The sequence below is a fragment of the Homo sapiens genome, chromosome 2 (genome assembly GCF_000001405.40).
Source record: "Homo sapiens chromosome 2, GRCh38.p14 Primary Assembly".
NCBI lineage: Eukaryota > Metazoa > Chordata > Mammalia > Primates > Hominidae > Homo > Homo sapiens.
In genome coordinates this window covers 33434131-33452264 of record NC_000002.12, presented here as the reverse complement: position 1 = coordinate 33452264, position 18134 = coordinate 33434131, and the positions used below count along the sequence as shown (strand labels likewise).

Below are 18134 nucleotides of genomic sequence, written 5' to 3'. Positions count from 1 at the left end.
CCAAACAACAAAATTAAGTAACTGACCCTAAATAAATGGAGATCTATGAACTGCCTGTCAGAGAATTCAAAATAATCATCTTAACAGAGCTCAGTGAGCTATAAGAGAATACAGATAACTAAATCAAATCATGAAAACAATATGAAAGCAAAATAGGGGATTCGATGAGGGTATAGAAACCATAAAAAAGAACAAGGCAGAAATTCTGGATCTAAAGAACATAGTGATGGAACTGAAAATTCCATAGAGAGCTTCAACAGTAGCCTCAATCAAGCAGAAAAAAGAATCAGTGAGCTCAAAGACAGATCATTTGAAATATTCAGCCAGAGAAACAACAACAACAACAAAGAAGAAGTAAGAATGAAAAAAGCCTATAGGATTTATGAAACAATATCAAGCAATCCAATATATACATTAGGGGATTCACAAAAGTAGCAAAGAAAGAAAAAAGAGCAGAATGCTTAGGTAAAGAAATAATGATAAGAAACTTCCCAAATCTGGAGAGGCAAATGAGCATCCAGATCTATGAAGCCCAAATAGCCCCAAGCAGATTAAATACAGAGATCTTCACCAAGACACATTACAATCAAATTCTCAAAAGACAAAGAAAAAACTTTGAAAGCAGCAGTAAATGAAATCGAACCCTTACGTTACATACAAAAATGAACTCAAAATAGATTAAAACTTAAACTCAAAATAGATTAAAAACTTAAACTTAACACCTGAAAACTATAAAACTACTACAAGAAAAGATAGGGGAATATCTTCTTGTCATTGGTCTCGGCAATGATTTCTTAGATATGACTCCAAAAGCACAGGCAACAAAAGTAAACACAGAGAGTTGAGATTGCATCAGACAAAAATGCTTCTGCACAGCAAATAATCAACAGACTGTAGAGACAGCCTGTGGGATGGTAGAAAATATTTGAAAACTATGTATTATATCTGATAAGGGACCAATATCCAAAATATGTAAGGAACTCAAAGCAACTCAATAGCAATAAAACAAATAATTCAAATTTTAAAATGGATAAAGGACCTGAAGAGGTATTTCTCAAAAGAAGAAATACAAATGGCCAATAGGTATATGAAAAAATGCTCAGCTGGGCACGGTGGCTCACACCTGTAATCCCAGCACTTTGGGAGGCTGAGGCGGGCAGATCACGAGGTCAGGAGTTGGAGACCATCCTGGTCAGGAGATCGAGACCATCCTGGCTAATACGGTGAAGCCCTGTCTCTACTAAAAATACAAAAACAAAATTAGCCAGGCGTGGTGGCAGGCACCTGTAGTCCCAGCTACTCAGGAGGCTGAGGCAGGAGAATGCTGTGAACCTGGGAGGTGGAGTTTGCAGTGAGCCGAGATCATGCCACTACACTCCAGCCTGGGCGAATGAGCAAGACTCTGTCTCAAAAAAAAAAAAAAAAAAAAAAAAAAAAAAAAAGAAAGAAAGAAAGAGAAAAAGAAAGAAAAGAAAAAAGAAAAAAACATTTAAAATAGAACTATCATATACTTCAGCAATCCCACTTCTGAGTATTTATCCAAAGAAAATGAAATCAGCATGTCAAAGAGATACCTACACTCCATGTTCATTGTGGCATTATTTATAATAGCCAAGATGTGGAATCAGCCTAAGCATCCATTGACAGTTGAATGGATAAAGAAAATGCGGTATATACAATGGAGTGCTATTTAGCCTTAAAGAATAAGAAAATTCTGTAATTTGCAACAACATGGATAAACCTGGAGACTATTATGCTAAGTGAAATAAGCCAGACACAGAAAGACAAGTTCTGCAGGATCTCATTTTTTGTGAAATCTAAAAAAGTTGAACTCAGTAACAGAGAGTAGAATGAGGATTGCAAGGGGCTGGGAAGAGGTGAGAATGAGGAGGTTTTGATCAAAGGGTACAAAATTTCAGTTTGACAAGATGTATAAGTTCTGTTGTACAGCATAATGACTACAGTTAATATTGTATTGTATACTTGAAAATTGCTAAGAGGATATATCTTAAATGTTCTCACCACAAAAATAATGATTGGTATATGAGGTGATAAGTATGTTAAATAGGTGATTTGATCTTTTTGTAATGTATACATATATCAAAACATCATGTTTTACATCATAAATATATACAATTTTAGTTTGTCAATATCTTAATAAAGCTTGGGGGCTGGAAATAACGATAAGAAAAGTAAATCTCTAGTCCCTATTGAGTCTTCCGAAGACTCTAGTCCCAAGTGACAACTGACTGCAACCTCACAAATGAAACTCCTTAATCTGACCTTCTCCTGAATTTCTGGCCCAAAGAAATCATGTGAGGTAATAAATGCTTACAGTTGTTTAAAGGCACTTAGTTTTGGAATGATTTGTTACACAGAAATAAGTAATAAAATACCTTTCTTATCTTTACTAAAATGCATAATGGTCAAATATACAAAAGTTTGCATTTTGTATTTGCTATATATCATAAATATTTTCACTGTAATAAATATTCCTTTTTTTTTTGGAGATGGAGTCTCGTACTATCACCAGGCTGGAGTGCAGTGGTGTAATCTCGGCTCACTGCAACCTCTGCCTCTCAGGTTCAAGCAATTCTCCTGCCTCAGCCTCCCTAGGAGTGGGACTACAGGCATGCACTACCATGCCCAGCTAATTTTTGTATTTTTAGTAGAGATGAGGTTTCACCATGTTGGCCACAATGGTCTCAATCTCCTGACCTCATGGTCTGCCCCCCTCGGCCTCCCAAAGTGCTGGGATTACAGGCGTGAGCCACCGCGCCCGGCCTAAATATTATTAAATATTCCAATGTCATGAAATATTCTGTTGTATGTCATCAAACATGGTTTTTTCTAGATTCCTGCACAATATTCTATGCTATCTACATAGTATAACGTATTATGTCTTAAAAGTAGATGTCTGAAAAAGTAATGTCTCAATTGCAATGACGAAAGGTTGGTTGAGAAAAAACATATATGCATATATATGCAAGGTAACTCTGCATACTTTGTTAATACTTTCATTCATTCACCAAATTTAAGATTAGGAAGTTGGTATGTGTCATGCACCTGATCTTATGTCTGGTAATCTGGGAGAGGTAGAAATGATGAAGACATTGTTTAAGGTCTCAATCACACTTGCACAGCACTTGGCTTTTGTCTAAACCTACCTAAAGCCCCAAACAGAGAGTAATCATGTTATACCTGGTATGCATAATTTGAAAAACATGTCTAATCTCTACCACATGTAAATTTGTGTCCTAATGAATCTCATTACAACAAATGATACAAAATATTACTTAAACATTTACTATATGTAAGGTTATATCTGGTTCCCAGAGGGATTTCTTTAAAATAGGTTTATTGAAACATAATTCACATACCATACAATTCACTGCGTTTTGCTATATTATATAGTTAATTTTTAAATTGTAATAAATATATATAACATAAATTTGCTATTTTGACCATTTTTACGTGTACTATTCAGTGGTATTAATTACATTCACAATGTTGTGCAATCATCACCACTATTTGCAAAACTTTTTTATCACACCAAACAGAAACTTTACAACTATTAAGAAATAACTCTCTATTCTCCCTTTCCCCCCACCCCCAGCCACCTCTAATCTACTTTCTGTTTCTATGAATCTGCATATTGTAGATATTTCACATAAGTGGAATCATATAATATTTGTTCTTTTGTGTCTGGATTATTTCACTTAGCATGATGTTTTCAAGGTACATTCATATTTTAGCATATATGAGAACTTCATTCCTTTTTATGGCTGAATAATTTCCCATTGCATGTCTATGCCACATTTTGTTTATCTCTTCATCTGTTGATAGACATGTGGGTTGTGTCTGGTTGTGTCTGCCTTTCAGCTATTATAAATAATGCTGCTATGAACATTAGTGTACCACAGAGAGTTTTTTTTAAAGCACAAAATAAGGCCTAGACATGAAGGAATTTATAATTAGGTTGTTGAGAGAAGAAACTCTTGGAAAATTAACCACAGAGGCAAATAGTAGTTGAATAAATTAAAGAAACACCACCAGACATGGGATTAAATATATAAGAAAGTATTTATATAGTATTACAGTATATAAATGTTATAGCATTTCTGAAGAGGGCAAATTCACTCAAGACTGGTGACAGCTTCATCATCAAATGAGGAAGAACAAAAATGTTGTTCACTTCATAATTTACAAAGTTTCTGACATCACAGTTTCAGTGGGGTTGAAAACATGTGATCAGATTTTATGTGTTTAAAATCTGAAAGAGACTTGAGAAAATAAAGGTGGTATGTGATGGAATACTCACTGAGAATCTTGGCAGTGAAATCAGAGAATCCAAATGGGTCATCAGAGGGGTGCCGCAGGTTCAGGTAGATTGGGTGTAGTTTCCATGGCAAAGAAGAGATATGGATGTTTTAAAAGAAAATATCCTAGAAACAAAAGAAATTGAGAGAAGACATTGAAGAAGGATGCATTCATTGACCAGAAGGTGAGGAGACAGTTTCAGATAGAAAACACAGACATGGGCCGGGTGCGGTGGCTCACGCCTGTAATCCCAGGACTTTGAGAGGCCAAGGCGGTCGAATCACTTGATATCAGGAGTTCAAGGCCAATATGGTGAAACCTCGTCTCTACTAACACAAAAAATTAGCCAGGCATGGTGGTGCACGCCTGTAATCACAGGTACTCAGGAGGCTGAGGCAGGAGAATGACTTGAATTCAGGAGGCGAAGGTTGCAGTGAGCCAAGATCGGACCACTGCACTCCAGCCTGGGTGACCAAGTGAAACTCTGTCTCAAAAAAAAAAAAATGTGCACACTCCAAGGTTGGGGCACCTCTTTGAGTAGCATGTGGCACAATTACCCTATGTTTTGTCTTTGTCAGAGGGCCTCCATTACCAGAGAAACAGCCCTAGTTCCCAGCAGAAGAAATAAGAGAGTGTTCCAGAACAGTCTGTCCCCCTGGCCCAGCCTCCTGTTCCTTGGGCTACATACATAATCTCAACTCATTTGTAGGTCCCTGATTCTCACTGTTTTGTGAAATCAACCAGTGGGACCACTCAACCCAGATTTCTTGACCTTCCCTGAAGGCCCATTCATGCCTGACTTGGTCACTGCTTCCCCCTCTTTTTTTTTTTTTTTTTTTGAGACGGAGTCTCGCTCTGTCACCCAGGCTGGAGTGTAGGTTCACGCCATTCTCCTGCCTCAGCCTCCCGAGTAGCTGTGACTACAGGCACCCGCCACCAACACCTGGCTAATTTTTTGTATTTTTAGCAGAGACGGGGTTTCACCGCGTTAGCCAGGATGGTTTCCATCTCCTGACCTCGTAATGCACCCGCCTCGGCCTCCCAAAGTGCTGGGATTACAGGAGTGAGCCACCGCACCCGGCCCAGTCCTTCCTCATTTTCTATTGATATATTTTTTTAATGGTAGTCTCTGCAGGATCCAACAGTTAATGGCACTCACCAAGAGATTTTTCTTTAACTGACTCGGAAATTTGTATGTGCAATTTGAATGTGAAATTGCACACATTCCCTCCCTTCCTTTTCCCCACCCTAGAGGCTGTTGAGGATCATTTCTTGAGGCTCAGTCTCTAGTCTTCCTCACCCTTTCTCCAAGGAGAACTGGACAATCATGCACAATTCTCATGTGCCTGCATATTTAATTCTAACCATTCTCTTCACTTTCCTCTCTTCTACTTCTTAGCCAAGTGTTACTTCACAGAAATCTCACCCTATTTGGGAACCAAAAAAAAAAAAATCCAAAAAATTTCCAAAAAAAATTGCCCTACTTGGGCCGGGTGTGGGTGGCTCACGCCTGTAATCCCAGCACTTTGGGAGGCCGAGGCGGGTGGATCATGAGGTCAGGAGATCGAGACCATCCTGGCTAACATGGTGAAACCCCATCTCCACTAAAAATACAAAAAAATTAGCCCGGCGTGGTGGCGGGTGCCTGTAGTCCCAGCTACTAGGGAGGTTGAGGCAGGAGAAACGTGAACCCAAGGGGCGGAGCTTGCAGTGAGCCAAAGATTGCACCACTGCACTCCAGCCTGGGCGACAGAGCGAGACTCCGTCTCAAAAACAAAACAAACAAACAAACGAACAAAATTACCCTATTTGGGAACCAACAAAAAAGAATGGCTACACATTAACAGCAGAACTAGTCGTACTTTGTCCTTCAGGAAAAGGCAAGCACAAAGTTTAACAGTAAAATTAGACATAAAAGCCTAAAAAAGGTCTCTCTACCTAAGGGTCACTTAGATAAGGCAGTCCCCTTTAAAAAAAAGAATTCCATTTACTTCCTCATTTTTCGTTGGTAAATTTGCTTTTCCTCCAATATTAAGAAACAAGATAAATATGATTTATCTCTTACGCTTGTCCCTGACTCTAGTATAGCACCTGGCACTTCCTGGATTCTTTACTAGTGTTTGTTGCTTTGAATTCAAGGTGGTTTTGTTGATCCAGTATATACTTTTTCTGTTTGGTTAATTAACATATTATTAATATATTAATGTGATATAATTATTAGCATATTAATATATGATATAATGTATTAATGTAGAAATAGTACATCAATAGTTAGATTTCATTGAATAATTTCAAATGCATACATGTTTAGAATAAATAATATATTATAAATACATTGTAATAATTTCGTTGTAGATACGTGGCATTTTAGGTGCAGTATGCAGTCACTATTTATAACTTTGTTTCTATGGGGAAAATGTAAAGTGAATTCAGAGGGCCAAGAAAATTATTAAAAACAAACTTTTGGACCATTACCAATTTGTAAATCATGCAATGAATGGTCATTATTTATATATGTCTTTAACTTTTATTTTGATTTCAGAATTTTCTGACTGGTTAAACTCTAGTTTCATAACCAAACCCTCATGGAATAAGACAAGAACCAAAAATGTGATCATTCCAGTTGGCTGCAACTCATTGCCAGGATTTCAGAGACCTATGTTTCCAGGTCTCTGCCATTGGTGGGGCCATAAGAACCTACAGTGTCTTCTGATTTTATCCACTTCCACCAGTTCTATTTTTGTATCTCCGTATTTAGCACACAGAAGCTATCTTTATCACACCAGCTGACTGGCATGAGAGTCCCCAAGGCATAGTAGTTATAGAAGATTATTATAGCATACTTCCTATCCTTCAAATAAGACAATGCAAAATGCAGAAAAGACATCAGCAAGTGGTCACAATGTTGGAAGTATGTGCGTGTGTGCATGTGCACTTGTGTGTGTTTCCATTGCTAAAGATTTATTTCTTTGTACTAAGTTGTAGGCACTATTAGGAGCATAATGTCTATAATGGTTTTTGGAACTCGATTTTAGGCTGTGTAATTGAATCTATTCCTATACCTAAAATTCACTTCAAAACATTATGATAAAGTCTTTTACAAGCATATCATCCAGATTTCAAATTTGGATAATGTTTATTAAAAAAACTTCTATTGCCCTAATTCTCAACTGAGGAATCCATAGTTACCCAGCCCAGGTGAAGAGCTGAATCATTCTAATAAGCCAAATCTCCAAAACTGCCAGTCCTTGGCTTGCTATTCAACTATTCAATCTTACTTGATATAGAATGTTCAGCTCAAATGTTTCAGAATGGAGATGACTGTGAGTACAGAAAAGGTAGCAATATCTCATAGTCTAAATTTCACATTATTTATGAGCTGTGGGTGGCACCGTAGCTCTTCTGTTTAGATTTGCACTGTCTTATACAGTAGCCACTAGGCACCTGAAGCTATCAACTTGAAATGAGGCTAGTCTGAGTTGAGACATGCAGTAAGGATAAAATACACACTGGGTTTCAAAGACTTATTACAAAAAGGGAATATAAAGTTTTTATTAGTGGTTTTTTATATTGGGTGCATGTTGAAATGTTATCTTGGATATATTTGGTTAAATCAACTATATTATTATTATTATTTTAGAAAGGGTCTTGCTGTTGCCCATGCTGGAGTGCAGTGAGTGGTGCAATCATAGTTCACTGCATCCTCGAAATACTGGGCTCAAGCAATCCTCTCACCTCAGTCCCCTGAGTAGCTAGGACTACAGGCATGCACCACCATGCCCAGCTAATGTTTAAAATTGTTTTTGTAGAGACAGGGTCTTGCCATGCTGCCCAGGCTGTTCTTGAAATCCTGACCTCAAGCAATCCTCCCACCTTTGCCTCCCAAAACACTGGGATTACAGGTGTAAGGCACTATCCCCCACTCCTTAAACTATGATATTAAAATTCATTTTATCTGTTTCTTTTTATTTTTTGAAATGTGGTCACTAGGAAATGTAAAATGAACTATGTAGGTCACATTAGTGGCTCACATTTTATTTATATTTTATTTTTTTAATTTTTTTGAGACAGGATCTCACTTTGTTGCCCTGGCTGGAGTGCAGTGGTGTGATCATAGCTCACTGTAGACTTGAACAACTGGGCTCAAACAATGTTGCCAACTCAGCCTCCTGAATATCTAGGACTATAAGCACGTACCACCATGCCCAGCTATTTTTTTTTTTTTTTTTTTTTTTAGAGACAGGATCTCACTATGTTGCCCAGGCTGGTCACCTGGGTTCAAGTGATCTTCCAGCCTCTGCCACCCAAATTGTTGGGATTACAGGTATGTATTTCTACAGGACTGTGCTGTAGGGTGTTCCATAATAAATAGTAAGAGCAGTAAGTAGTCTTTAAAACTGGAAGTCAGAGCTGCTGCCGAATTTTACTCCATATCAGGCTAACCAGAGAAGAGTATGACTTGGAGTGATGTAACAGCCCACACATGTTTAGTTTCCCCATCCAAAGAATTCTAGTAATACCCAGCAAGACAACTATGAACACAGGCCGCTAAGAGAAATAAATAAATGTTACCACAGCATAATACCTGCCTTACTTAACTGTTTCCTAATTGATAACCCATCCCTCATTTTCATCTAAGGGATGTGCCCATTTCATGGCATGGAAACTAGATATTGAATCATTAATTCACTTGTTTTGAGTTTTTGTTGTTTTATTCTCCTGCCCATTGCTATTAAAATGAAGACTAGGGACAATTTAAAAAATAGAAACATGAATTTGCTATTTATAAATGTAATAGAAAGAAACACTTTTAAGATTCTATGTCTGGGCAACAGGGAGTTATTCAGAGGCAAGAAAAGTCACAGCAATATCGCTGTGCATTTTACTAGCTATGTGCACAGGGAGGCGTTCACACTGACCCTGAATATTAATAAACATAAAAAGTTCAGCAGCAAATCCCTGTTGTGGGATTACCGGATTACTGAATTAAAAACACATTGGAAGTCATTGCTGCCAGCAAAGAATTGTGTAACTGCTGGTAAAAAAGAAAAAAAAAAAAAACAATAGTGATTTCTGTAGGAGAACAAAACAATAATATCTTTGTAATGTTCTGAAATCGCTACATGAATAAAGCTGAGACGGGCTCCCCTGCATTTCCCAGTTTGATTTGCTGACCATCTTGTCTGCCCATAATTGTTTTCTGCCATTCATTTCCTCCAATTGTCAATTATTACTAAAACAATTATGAAAAAAGTGCATGTCTTTGTTTCCTGCTGCTGATGAATGCAGTGAAGTCATAGAACAGGCCAGTGCATCATAATCTTTTCCATTACAATGGATTATGCTGTCACAAACAGGATATAGCCCTTTACTTGGAGGAGAGGCCGTCAATGGCAATGAATTAGCATGAACATATTGTCAGCCATGACAGCAAGAAATCAGAACAGAGACTTAGCTCTGTACATTTTGAAAACATACTGGGTTTTGTTCCTGATTATAAAAGTAGTACATGCTTATTTATCCTGGAGACAAAGTAGAAAATCAAAATCACCATTATCCCACCAACCAGAAATTTTTTTTCGAGACGTAGTCTCGCTCTGTCACCCAGGCTGGAGTGCAGCGGCGCGATCTTGGCTCACTGCAACCTCCGCCTCTTGGGTTCAAGCAATTCTCCTGGCTTAGCCTCCTGAGTAGCTGGGACTACAGGCGCATGCCATCACGCCTGGCTAAGTTTTGTATTTTTAGTAGAGATGGAGTTTCACCATATTGGCCAGGCTAAGAAATTTCTATTGTTAACAGTTGGTGTATGACTTTTTAGCTCTTACTTCTTTTTTCATATGTACATATATATTTTTTAAGCAAATGGGGTCACACTATATACATAATTTTGTAGACTTCTTACATTCACTGAATGTAAGTGTAAATGTTCACTTAACATTTACTATGAATAGTTTCCAATGTCATTAAATATTATAATGTAATTTAATGTCTGTATAAAATTTCATATTGTGGAATGTTATTTAACAATTCCCTGTATATTTAGGTTAGTTACAAAATGTATCTGTTATGAATAGTCTTTTACACACGCATTATTGTCTCAATTTATGATGTTTTTAAGAATAGATCCCTAAAAGATAGACTTTTTGCTTTTTACTAAAAAATATATTGTGTATTTTGAAGTAAATATTTAGAATCAAAGATCTAGGAAATCTTAATAAAAAGGCACGTATGTGCATTGAAAGTTTAGTAGCCAAACATATGTGCCTGCCTAAAATGGTAAACAGGTGAAGTATTTTTAATGATTAGAAAGTTTAAGATAAATCTAAAACTGTTCTATTCAAAATGCCTTTCAGGCCAACAAGCTGTAAGGGTGTATGTAATTCCATGGAGTCTTCTTCCAGAATTTCCTAGCACAACTAGCCTTCTTGAATTTGCTATTTAGAGATTCCTAAAGAGCTTGCTTCTAGTGCCTGGCTCTGCTGTCTCTGGGCTGAGCGTTGTTTTCTGGTATTGCCACTAGAGAGCAGCCAGGGACAAGGAGAGGAGGTTGACACCCTTGGTCTTTTCTCTTCAGCATAACCTTTTTCTAAAAATTGCACGATCTAATTTATATGTGGAATATTTTTTAAACCCTAAAACACAGAGATACAGAATGAAACAGTGGCCACTAAGGGTGGGAGGAGGGGGGAAAGGGAAATGGGGACATATAGGTCAAAGGATACAAAATAGCAGACACTAAAGAACAAGTTTGGAGGCTGGGTGCCGTGGCTCACGCCTGTAATCGCAGCACTTCAGGAGGCCGAGGCAGGAGGATCATTTGAGGTCAGGAGTTCAAGACCAACTTGGCAACATGGTGAAACCCTGTTTCTACTAAAAAATACAAAAATTAGTGGGTGCAGTGGCGTGTTCCTGCAGTCCTAGCTATTTGGGAGGCCGAGGCACAAGGATCACTTGAGCCCTGGAGGTGGAGGCTGCAGCAAGCCGAGCTTGTGCCACTGCATTCCAGCCTGGGTGATAGAGGGGGACCTTGTCTTGAAGAAGAAAGAAAAAAAAACAAGTTTGGAGATCTAATGTCCAACCTCAAGATGAAATTTAATAAAATTGTATTGTATTCGGGATTTTTGTAAAATAAGTATGTTTTAGCCACACATGTCATACAAAAAAAGTAACTATATGAGATTATAGATTCTTCATCATAATCTTTATTTCACCAGATGACCAAGGGAAAATTTAAAATGAGCCACTAAGGGGAAAAACGATTCTGGAGGTTAATAAATAAGGAAAACCTCTGGGTATAAATGATTTCCATTTTCTCAGAGAGAGTAACCAAAAGATGGAGAATTCTACGAGGGCCATCAAAGTTACGAACAATAGAAGACCTGGAACCTGGCTAAAAACTGGGTTCTAGCATGAGCAACTGGCGCCCTTAGCTCTTTGCAGATGGAGAAAGTGAATCTAGAGCCAGAGGCTCAACATTCTGTATATGAGTCTCAGTTGTGAGGGCTTTGGCCCCTACACATGGTGGTTCCATTTTCCATCTGCCTCTCATTAATGATGTGATCATGGACATGTTACTTAATCTCTCTGACCTCACTTTTCTCAACTACAAAATGTGGCTGGCAATGGAACCTGCCGATAGATGGTTGCAGAGGCAGAAGGAGATAATGGAGATAAAAGGCTTGACATCGAGTAAGTGCTTAATAAATGTTGTCGTTTTTATTTCCAGTTCTCACCTCCCTCCTAAGCTGTTTTCCATTCTCAGCTGTTCGCTTACTATTTCTATCTGACTATTCCATCATTCCCTCAAATTTCCTGTGTTTGAAACCAAAATCCCCATCCCTCTCACTAACTCCCTGACCTGCTGCTGTCTCTTTGGCCATTTCTTTGAATGGAGCCATAAAACATAACATCCTCTTGAACACATTCTCTCCTCCTATAACCATACCCAATTAGTTTGCAAAACGCGTCAGTTTGTTCTCAGATGTGTCTCCATTGGGCTTCTTTCTCTCTGTCTTCATCAGAACCCAGGCCTCGGTGCCCTGATCTCTCCCCCAGCAAGTTCTGCCTCCAACCGGCAGATCTTATGCACGCCATTTCCCTTTTCAGAACTTCTCATCGGCCCCAGGTGTCTTTAAATTCTTGACTCCTTAGTTCACCATTAAAGTCCCACCACCTTCTGAACCCAGCCTCCTCCAGGCACTTCTTTCCTGCTCCATAGGCTCATTCCCTCTGCTGCTGTCAAGCTGGCTGACTCTCAGTTCCCTTGAAGAGTTGCCAGATTTGGGAAATCAGAATACAGGGCCCCCAGCTAAGTGTGAGTTTCTGATAAACAGCAAATACTATTTTCGTATAAGTAGGTCCCATGCACTAAGTCTCATACACAGTCATGCAGTAGGGCACACTTAGACTAAAAAAGTGTTTGTTGTTTATCTGAAATTCACATTGAACTGGGCATCCTGTATTTCATCTGACAGCCCTATTCCTTGGGCGCAGGAAGGCCATTCCTGTCTCTGCTCATGCTCACAGCTCCATTCTTATCATAGATGTCCTCATCTCCCTCATCCATCAGCTCTCCTCCCGCTTACCAAGACCCAACTCAGCCTCAGGCCTCCATGAAGCCCGTCTGGATCAGGTCTTCCTTAGGTGGCACTCATTATCTACGTCATTAATTTGGCTCCACATACAGGATGCTTTGTGTCCTGTATACTTCCCTTTTTTCAACTTAACATTGAGTTTTTCAAGGATAGAGATTATATTGTAAGTTAGAAAACTTAATAAATAGGTGTTCATGGTGTGGTGCTGCTTGTAGACCTGTAATACAGGATGAGACAGTAGGAGAAAAGTCTCCAAAAGCCAATTGTCTGAATTTAAGGTGCCTGTAAATACACAAGAATCATCGTGCAATACCCCTCTACCCCACCCAGCGTCAGGCCAGATGGCAGGTGGGTGTAGTTTCCAGTCTGAAGAAGAAGACCTTGGCATGCTTCTCCCACATCCCTCTTCAACACATCCCCCAAGTTGTACATTGTATTTGGTGACATCTAAATTTCTTGCTGCTTCATATGGTCTCTTCAGTAACCTGATTTTACTTGTATTTAAATGTGAAGGCCAGGGTTGGCTCTATTATTATGTAAACTGTAAACACATGGTGATTGTAGGAGTTACTCTGGAAATAAGGCAATACATTTCTATGTAATTAATTAAAAAGCTAAAAAATTGATAATTTTTTTCAAAATTAGCTAACTCTAACTTAAAATGTTCTCAGCAACTTGTAGATACATAAAACAATCTGTAGAACTACCGTAGAACTATTAAGCAATTTCTAAGAACTGTATTTTAAATACCTGGCATTTCATGAATACAATTTTTTTTTTTTTTTTTTGGCGATGGAGTCTCACTCCATTGCCCAGGCTGGAGGGCAGTGGCGCGATCCCGGCTCACTGCAACCTCCACCTCCTGGGTTCAAGCGATTCTTCTGCCTCAGCCTCCCAAGTAGCAAGGATTACAGGCATGTGCCACCACGCCCAGCTAATTTTGTATATTTAGTAGAGACGGGGTTTCACCCTGTTAGCTAGGCTGATCTCAAACTCCCAACCTCAGGTGATCCACCCGCCTCGGTCTCCCAAAGTGCTGGGATTACAGGCGTGAGCCACCACGCCTGGCCCCATGAATACATTTATAAATCTATGGTCATCTGGAAACCAATGACCAGCAATGAGCCTTTTACAAGTGAAAAAATATATTCTTGAAATAATACATCTAACTCATAATTTTATCTTTCTTAAACCTTACATACAGTTAAAACATTTTCATTCTCATAATGTAAACATGTGAATGTGTCAAATGTGAACGTTGTTTTGAAACTCTAAGGGAAATGAGTTCAACATGATCAGAAATCAGAATTGCTGTAAGCAACATTGCTGTAATTAGAGCCATGTGGCGTGGCAATTAATTAAGTCACCTTAGAGTCCACTCTGTGGAAGATCTAAAGTGGACTCAGAACTGACTTTGCAGCACTGGAATGTCCTGAAAATAAATGCTGAGGGTTTGTTTGTTTGTTTCTTCAGATCTATCATATTTATTCAGATTAATTTCATTTCCCTCTCTTTTTTTTTTTAACCACTTAAGTTCAGCTAAGAAATCATGATCTTTCTATTCAAACATATTATACTTTCTAACAGTTTCCATGGAATTATAATTTTCTAATCAGTAAAAAATAACCCTTAAATTCTCCCAGGAAAGAAGACGGCCAGTGGGATCCACACTGAGCCTGAGCCGAGTCCTGGCCTCCTGTGCCGGTTCTAGCTGGTTCTGCTTTTCTGGCTTCCAGCTTTGCTATCTTCTTGGGACAGATTCTAAACATCCCAATCTCAAACAGGGATAGGGCAAAAGAAATAACAGCCACACATTTCCTTCTGCTCTTCCTTTTCAATAATCCACCAGAACCGTATTCCTCTGTTAGTCATTGTGGTAACATTAATCAAGTTACTCCAAGACACAAATGTGGTTATTATCAGCAGCGGATGCAAATATGGTGCATCATTTAAACAAATGTGCTTGTTTAATGGCAAAGAATGTTAAAAGAATTTGGAATGTCCCTAGTAGCTTTCCAAGTTTTTGTGGGCAACATCAACTGTTCTTGGATTTAATCCATTTCCTTTCAACCTTACCATTTCCAAACCCAGTGACATTTTTCAAGGTACTCAAAACATAATGAACGAATGTTTGGAAATAATAATTTAAATCTACATAACTACTATGAACACTTTCTATCACTGGAAACTATTCAGTGCTGTTTTTTGTGGTTCTAGAAGATTCTCCATTTTCTGAAAAATGAATGTTCAAGACAAAAAACCTGTATTAAAATTTGTTATCTTTGCTTAATTTTATACAAAATTTAAATTTTATATATAACTTTTATACAATTGTCCATTTCTGCTTGAAGGCCTATTTATTAAAAGTATTCTAAACTATTATTCATCAAATAAATTATAGGTGGATTATTAATCAGCAATTTGAAAAGGGCAGACAAGCAGACAAATATCAAAAATATATTTTTAAAGGTGATCATCAATGAAATTATTTATACTATCTAAACCCCTGATAATAATGAAACTGAAGAAAGTTTGTAAAGTTATTGTCAAGAAACAACTTTTTAAAATATTTATTGTAAAAACCTGAAGATGTCATAACCAAGGTTGATTTCTACATTTCTTCAGAGATATGAGCAAAGCATATTGAAAAGTTACATGAGGATCGGACCTCAAATCATATCCATTGTCTGTGGCTAATATCCATAGTTCATGAAGTGCATTAAGACGCAACAACAGACAGATTTTTAAATGACACTTACCTTTGCAGAACTGCAATAATGTTGATCCCTATAGTGAATTGTCTTTTTCTTTCCACTTCATCACCTCTAGCAAGTTTCTCTTCAACGTGCCTAAACACCTAGAATTCCTGTTCTGTCTTCTAAAATGCTGTCATCACCTCCATTGCCCAAATCTAGTTCAAAAGTGAGGAGAGAAAAAAAATTGAAATTTGCAAGCTGTTTATGCCTAACAACAACATTGAAGCTGCTAAGCTTTGAGCTCAATGAATTAAAGGTTGTTTGGCTAAATGGCAGGCAGACTTCCTCCTATTCTTTCCGAACTTAGTTTTCCTGCCTCCAGTGGAGCTTTTTCCTTTCCTGGGCTATAAATAGGCTGGTGGTAAGAGTACTGAGGAAAGAAGAAGGCAGGAAATGTATTTGATTTCAGAAAGCAGCCTTAGGTATATGAGTGCATGTGTGCTTCTTTCAAATGAATACCAACAAACAAACTAAAAATTTGGCCTCAAATAATTCAGCTTTGGTCTGTGCACCATAGTCAACATTTTCTTTAATTTCCTATGGTCTCAGTTTTACTATAAGTTGTCATATCCTATAGACACTTAAATATGGTTGATTCTTCAAGGTGGGAGTGTATGTCTGGAATGAAGGGACAGTTTAATTTGTGACATACATATTTTTTTCCCTTTCAAATATTATACTGTGTATGCCATGCTTTCAAAACATTAATTTTAAAGACAATTTTTAAAACTGTTATTACTTAAGGTCCTTCATATAATTCTATTAGATGTCTATGTATTGATTTGTTATCTAACAGTCATCTATTTATCTGTCACCTCCCTCCCTTACTCTGTCATTCTACACTTACTGTCTGTCAACAGTGTTTGTTTTAGCCACCCAGTAAGTGTTTGTTTTAGCTGCTCTTTACGTGAGTAACACTTTGAGAAGAAGCACAAGGAATTTCTCCATAGGAGGGGCTACTTAAAGAGTGGTCCAAGGACCGGCCAGGCGCGGTGGCTCACGCCTATAATCCCAGCATTTTGGGAGGCCGAGGTGGACGAATCACGAGGTCAAGAGATGGAGACCATCCTGGCCAACATGGTGAAACCCTGACTCTACTAAAAATACAAAAATTAGCTGGGCATGGTGGCATGCACCTGCAATCCCAGCTACTTGGGAGGCTGAGGCAGGAGAATGGCGTGAACCCAGGAGGCGGAGGTTGCAGTGGGCTGAGATTGTGCCGCTGCACTCTAGTCTGGCAACAGAGCGAGACTCCGTCTAAAAAAATTTTAAAAATTAAAAAAAAAAAAAAGACAAAAAAAAGTGGTCCGAGGACCAGTAGCATCAGCAACCCTGGATCAGAACCTCTGGGGCTGGGGCTCAGATGATTAACTTCAGGTGATTCTGATGCTCACTAAATAGGAGAAACATGGATCTACATAATTACTTTGTGTGCATGTTTATTAATATCTCTTCAAAAAGGAATTTAAGAGTAGATTTTTTTAATGTAAGAATCAGAAAATAATGTATATGCTTTTTATGCTGGTAACCTCCATCTAGATGACTAGAAGAGTTTTTAGATCTAATGTTAAGAAGACATACTAATTTCCTAATTACTTGGAGAAGCTACCTAATGTGAGGCAAAAGCAGTGGAAAAAACAAAAGGATAGTATTTAAGAGAGAGACAACAGCACTCACACATGGTGAAGAGTCATCCTACATATAGATAAATTCTAAGCAAATTTTACTAACAGCTATATCTAAAAATTATAAGTTGTCTGAAACAAAACCAAAGTAAACAGTGAAGAAATGAAGCTTCTAATGGAAATACAATGTCCCAGCCCCCACTTTTTTTGTTTGTTTGTTTGAGACAGAGTCTTGCTCTGTCACCCAGGCTGGAGTGCAGTGGCGCGATGTTGGCTCACTGCAACCTCCGCCTCCCAGGTTCAAGCAATTCTCCTGCCTCAGCTTCCCAAGTAGCTGGGATTACAGGCATGTGCCACCACGCCCGGCTAATTTTTGTATTTTTAGTAGATATGGAGTTTCACCATGTTGGCCAGGCTGGTCCTGAACTCCTGACCTCAGGTGATCCACCCGCCTCGGCCTCCCCAAGTGCTGGGATTACAGGTGTGAGCCACCGCGCCCGGCCCCCAGCCCCTATTTTTGTTTAGTGATTTGATTATTGTTTTGAAACCCAGCCATTTCTTGTCCATGCTTGGGTTTCATACTAGGCCCCCGTATAATAGAAGCAATAGGTTGAACAATGAGCTCAAGCCAGAGCTGATAAGGAAAAAGTAAGGGTGTCCACATCCTAAGTACAGATTGGGAGGAAAATGTTTCTTCAGAGAGAAAGAGAGAAACAGAATGCGAGGGAGAGAGAAAAAAAAGACGGATAGAGAAAAAAAGAAAAAGAGAGGTGAATGACTTCCTTGTAATAGCAGAAAGGAAGAAGGAAGTCCATGGTGCTCAGGATATAACAGCTGCA

The 18134-nt window shown here is 38.5% G+C and overlaps 1 protein-coding gene across 4 annotated transcripts in view; it reads right to left on the bottom strand.

Moving 5' to 3' along the window:
• The window catches only part of RASGRP3 (RAS guanyl releasing protein 3), a 128384-nt gene extending 112467 nt beyond the window's left edge, over window positions 1–15917 (bottom strand). For all 4 annotated transcript variants that reach the window (NM_001349975.2, NM_170672.3, NM_001349978.2 and 1 more), the window contains exons 1-2: window positions 15674–15917; window positions 4322–4445 (exon numbers count right to left, since the gene is read on the bottom strand). The gene's annotated coding sequence lies outside the window, so the exon portion shown is untranslated. The remainder of the gene's footprint in view (window positions 1–4321; window positions 4446–15673) is intronic.